The sequence below is a fragment of the Homo sapiens genome, chromosome 19, assembly GCF_000001405.40.
Source record: "Homo sapiens chromosome 19, GRCh38.p14 Primary Assembly".
In the NCBI taxonomy this organism is placed as follows: Eukaryota; Metazoa; Chordata; class Mammalia; order Primates; family Hominidae; genus Homo; species Homo sapiens.
This window is the reverse complement of record NC_000019.10, coordinates 28,070,552-28,076,020: the sequence shown is the minus strand read 5'-3', so window position 1 is coordinate 28,076,020 and position 5,469 is coordinate 28,070,552. Positions and strand designations below refer to the sequence as shown.

General features: G+C 40.3%; 3 annotated features.

The window, feature by feature from the left end:
- Window positions 237–346: an enhancer, noted in NCBI's record as "active region_14404". NCBI's record gives its function as "activates an Ori minimal core promoter by ATAC-STARR-seq in GM12878 lymphoblastoid cells {active_cell/tissue: GM12878}" and the evidence as "EXISTENCE:reporter gene assay evidence [ECO:0000049][PMID:35858748]".
- Window positions 437–496: an enhancer, noted in NCBI's record as "active region_14403". NCBI's record gives its function as "activates an Ori minimal core promoter by ATAC-STARR-seq in GM12878 lymphoblastoid cells {active_cell/tissue: GM12878}" and the evidence as "EXISTENCE:reporter gene assay evidence [ECO:0000049][PMID:35858748]".
- Window positions 5,166–5,225: an enhancer, noted in NCBI's record as "active region_14402". NCBI's record gives its function as "activates an Ori minimal core promoter by ATAC-STARR-seq in GM12878 lymphoblastoid cells {active_cell/tissue: GM12878}" and the evidence as "EXISTENCE:reporter gene assay evidence [ECO:0000049][PMID:35858748]".

The following is a 5,469-nucleotide window of genomic DNA, read 5'->3' as shown; positions in this document are numbered from 1 at the left end:
GCCACTGCCACAACATCTCTATGTTGACATCTAACACACCAAGCCCAAGCTCTAGACCCCTCCCCTGAGCCCAACCTCCCTCATCCTCCTCTTCCATGAGAGCAGCTCCATCCCCACAGGTGTTCAGGTTCCCACTGTTTTGTTTTTCTTGACTTCTGTCTTCTCTCTACCTCATCTCCACTCCATCGGCAGAGCCCCTCTCTGTAGCTTCACAGCATGTCCACACCTGACTGCTTCTGTCCCTCCACCTATTCTACCTGGCCAGAGCCTGATCTCCTCTGAACAGGATGACTGTGCAGCTTCCTAACCATGCACTGCCTCCTGCCATCACCCCTGCAGTCTGGGGTTCTGCCTATAAGGAGTTTGGAAGTCACCATTCCATGTGATCTGGTTTGTCTGTGTCCCCACCCAAATATCATCTTGAATTGTAGCTCCCATAACCCTCACATGTCTTGGGAGGGACCTGGTGGGAGGTAATTGAATCATGGGGGCAAGTTTTTCCTGTGCTGTTCTTGTGATAGTGAATAAGTCTCACTATCACTTTTCTACCTATATGATCATGTCATCGGCAAATAGGGAGAGTTCCCCTGCACAGGCTCTTGCCTGCCACCACCTAAGACATGACTTTGCTCCTCCTTGGCTTTCCACTGTGACTGGGAGGCCTCCCCAGTCATATGAACTGTGAGTCCATTAAACCTCTTTTTCTTCATAAATTACCCAGTAATAAATTACCCATAAATTACCCACACTACTATTTATTCATAGCAGTATGAAAATGGACTGATACACCATGTTAACAAAAAGAACAAAGCTGAACAATCAACTATTCATCATAGATTCACAAAATAATTAAATTCATGGGGCAACTGCTGCTTTCAAAATTACAGAGACAGGAAAATGAATGCAGGGAGTCAAGACACACAAGTGCAGAAAGCTCTGTGGGAGCCAGGCTAGGGCAGGAGAGCTTCAGCTGCAATGAAGCTGCTAGAGGCTGGCTGTGGACTGGCCTGAGAACTAAAAACACCAGGGGCACTCAGTCATGGGGAAGCGAGATCGTTTTGTGGTTTTGACCTCCAGTAGCTCAACCAGGTTCTCACAGTAAATACTGGGGGGAAATACTCATGCTACCAGAATGCTCTGTGCTTAACAAAGTCTGTCCTCAGGCAAAACTACTTAACCAGAACCTAAGTTTTCTAAGATTTTATCAGAACCTCACTGACCTAGGTAGGGAAAGTGAGACTGGATCTCAGCTAGCTCCAGCCCTCTGTGTTGGGGGAGGGAAATGTCCAGCTCCAGTCCACCTTAGCTATCCTTTGCGACCTCGTGGGAGAAGCCTGAGAAACCCATGTGAAGTTCAGAGACACAGGCTCAATAAAGACTGAGATCTAACTGGAGAAATGCAGAACGCCTCCTATCCACATGCCACCCTCACTAAGTGTCCATCCATCAATGGATGAATAGATAAAGAAAATGCACTGTATATACTCAATAGGATATTACTCAGGCTTAAAAAGAAGAAAGCTCTATCATTTGCCACAACATGAATGAACCTGGAGGGCATGCTAAACAAAACAAGCCAGACACAGAAGATAAATTCTGCATAATCGCAGGATATGTGGAATCTAAAGAAGTTGAACTTACAGAAACCAAGAGTAGAATGATGGTTTCCGAGGACTGAGAGGTGAGGAAAATAGGGAGATATTGGTAAAAGGGTTCCAAGTTTCAGTTATGCAAGATGAATAGGTTCTGGAGATCAAAGGTGCAGCATGGTGACTAGTTAATATTACTGTATTGAATGTGTAAAATTTGCTGAGAGAGTAAATCATAAACGTTTTTACCATATCCCAAAAAGAATGATAAGTATGTGAGGTGAAGAACATGTTACTCAGTTTGATTGGGGGAAATCATTTCATGATGAATATGAGTATCAAAATATAACTTTGTATACTGTAAACATATACATTTTTATTTGTTAATGATACCTCAATAAAGATGGAAAAATGAATAATATTTTAAAAAAACAAACAAAAACCTCCCAAAAAAGAAAAGCCCAGAACCAGGTGGCTTCGTGAGTGGATTCTACCAAACATTCAAAGAAGAATAATAACAATCCTTATCAAATGCTTCCAGCACATGTAAGTAGAGGGGACACTTCCAAATGCATTTGATGCAGCTGGCATCACACTGATACCAAAGCCAGAAAAAGAGCAAGAAAATAAAGCCACAAGCCAGTATCCCTGATGAACATAGATGCACATATCCTCAATGAGACATGACCAGACTGAATTCAAAAGCACATTACAAGGATCATACAGCATGACAAAGTGAAATATATCTCTGGGATATGGGAGTAGTTCAGCTGATGTGAATCAATTAATGTGGTGAATACACAAACAAGGAAAAAGTACATGTGATCATCTCAACAGATGGAGAAAAACCATTTGACAAAGTTCAACTTCTATTATTGATTAAAAAAAACTCTCAATAAAATAGGTATAGGAGGAACATATCCCCCACACAACAAAGGCCGTAGGTGATAAACTCACAGCTAACATAATCAATGGTGTAAAGCTGAAGGCCTTTCCTCTAAAATCCCATACAAGGCAAGGATATCCACTCTCATTGATTCTATTCAGGATAGTATTGGAACTTCTATCCAGAGCAATAAGAGAAGAAAAAGAAATAGCATGTATCTAAATCTAAAAGGAAGAAGAAAAACTCTCCCTATTTGCAGTTGACATGATCATATACATAGAAAAATCTAAAGACTCCACAATGGCTATAAAAACCTATTCGAACTGGTAAAGCAATTATACCTCATTAAAGATGGGGGAAAACTACTCCAACAAAACAAAGGAAAAATAGGAATAAAATATTTCTTTATGACACCCTTCAAGAATACATTTACAAATCCAAAGCTATTGCTTCTAACTTCATGCATTGTAACTAAATTCCTTTACTATTGCGGCTTAAGAATTTTATTTATACTCTTTCAAATGCTATCATTTTAAAATTTAAATAAAGACATTTAAATCAATATTTTAGGAAACAAACAAACCAAATTAATTACATTCATTTAGCAACTTATTTAACATTTTTTAGCTCTGTCATTTAACTAGCAGTGTGACTTCAGGCAAATAAGCCAAAATTTTAATCTTTTTACCTGTAAAATATAAACAAATGTGTCAATTCTTTAAAGTTGTTTGCATTATTTCAGGCTATATAAATATATATAATTATTAAATATATTGATAAATAGTAAAAACAAAGGAACTTTACAGTTTCTATTTATATGTAAACTAGTATCACTTGCTATTATTTTTGAAAAGGAAATCACACTACTGAAACCAAAAGGAAATCAAGAGATTTACTTTTTGCAAATGTAAATGCCATGGGCAAGCTCTGGGGAACATGACTGAGGCTTGGTTCCCTCAGTTGCCACAGCAAATATACTTGAGCATCCTGCAGGGGAAGCTCTGCTGTGAATACTTCTTATGACTGAAATGAGACCTGGATATAAAAAAGGTGATCATCCTACTGGAACCTGGGCCCCATCCAAGTACCTTTTGATTTGCAATCTAAATCTCTTACAACTGAGCTACTTCAGGTGTTCTTGTAAGATGAGGACATATATAAACAATTCTTCAATTTTGCAACTCAAAATTAGTATATGGTTACTGTGCATATCTTGCAAAACTCAGCAAGGGAATCTTTCCAGCCTTGTCAGCCTTGATACTCCAGTCTGGAGTCGTTCATGATGTCCACATCAGGAACATCTTGTTCTCACATCACTTTCTTTCTTTCTTTCTTTCTTTTTTTTTTTTTTGAGACGGAGTCTTGCTCTGTGGCCCAGGCTAGAGTGCAGTGGTGCCATCTCAGCTCACTGTAACATCCACCTCCCGGGTTCAAGCAATTCTCTGCCTCAGCCTCCCGAGTAGCTGGGATGCCCGCCACCACGCAAGACTAATTTTTTTTTTGTATTTTTTGTAGAGACCAGGTTTCACCATCTTGGCCAGGCTGGTCTTGAACTCCTGACCTCATGATCTACCAGCCTCGGCCTCCCAAAGTGCTGGGATTACAGGCGTGAGTCACCACACCCAGCCACTTTCATATCCTGAATGGCCCTCATGCCAGCTCTCTCCTGCCTTTCCCTTGATAAGAGGGCATGGTCCCAGGCACATTGCACATGTTGGTTGGAGAACAAACTAGGAAAGACAGTTTTCAGGGCAATCAGACTGTGTACACTAAATGCAAATTTTATTTTGTTTTTATAACCTTTTTTTATTATTATTATACTTCAAGTTTTAGGGTACATGTGCACAATGTGCAGGTTAGTTACATATGTATACATGTGCCATGCTGGTGTGTTGCACCCATTAACTCGTCATTTAGCATTAGGTATATCTCCTAATGCTACCTGTCCTCCCTAACTATTGTTTTTTTTTAAGAAAAAAACTCATACACTTAAAGATGACAAGGAAGCCTACTCCAGAAGAGACAACTGCAATGTGGTTTTGCAGTAGGGGAGAGAGATCAAGCTCAACCCTGAATACAGTGAGGACAAGTGGAGATTTATAGCCAAGAAGCAGAGCTGGGATCAGTGGATGGTAAATTCCTAAGAGAACACATCAAGGCTAAAACTCACCAGGATTCTTGCTGAAGGCAGGCCATGATGACAACATGTTGAGGGTCAGCAATTTGGCATTTGGTCAGATATGGACAGTGATCAGATACCAAGAGTGGAGGATGTTTGCTAAATGGATTCAGCAGGGTTCTTTCTAAAACTGGACTAAATGGGCCAAGAGCAGAGCTCAAAGCTGTGGCCTAGTCAAAAAGAGGACTTAGAGGAGGCTGACTCTAGCTTGGTCAACGAGATAGTCTTTGTTACCCTTGGCCCCCTTATTCAAAGAACAAAGAGACATTGTTCTTTCCTTTGAACAATACAAGATTATTTCTCATTTGGAGGGGGATATTTGCTGGATGATACAAGCATTTAGGCATTTAATGATGAAAATCTCTATGAGTAAAAAGGAAAATGAGAGTAACTACTACTTCAGAGTCCAGAGGGCAGTTAGCCCAGATTTGTAAATGCTGGGCTTGAAACACCTTTACATGCTGGAGTGAGGAAAAGCAAGGTCATCCAATGGTTCTTTCCATTTGCAGCTTGAGTATCTTTGGAGATACTGTGCAGTGTGCTGGGGAGCTTTCTGAGTGGCCTACACAGCAGCAGGCATGAAGGTTGTCCACACTTGAGTTGTTGTGTGATTTTCTTGAAACTTATATCAGGTCATGCAGTTTCAGGTTGCAGGGCTTGGGGAAAAGGGCAGTTCTAGTTCTCAGATAAGCCAAGTCAGGAGGGAAGGAGAAAAGTTGCAAACATTAGTTTGGAAAGTCTCCATGGAAATGTGAAGTTTCTATAGTCATTGCCTCCCAGTTAATTGATAAAAAATAACCAAAGTAAATTTATTC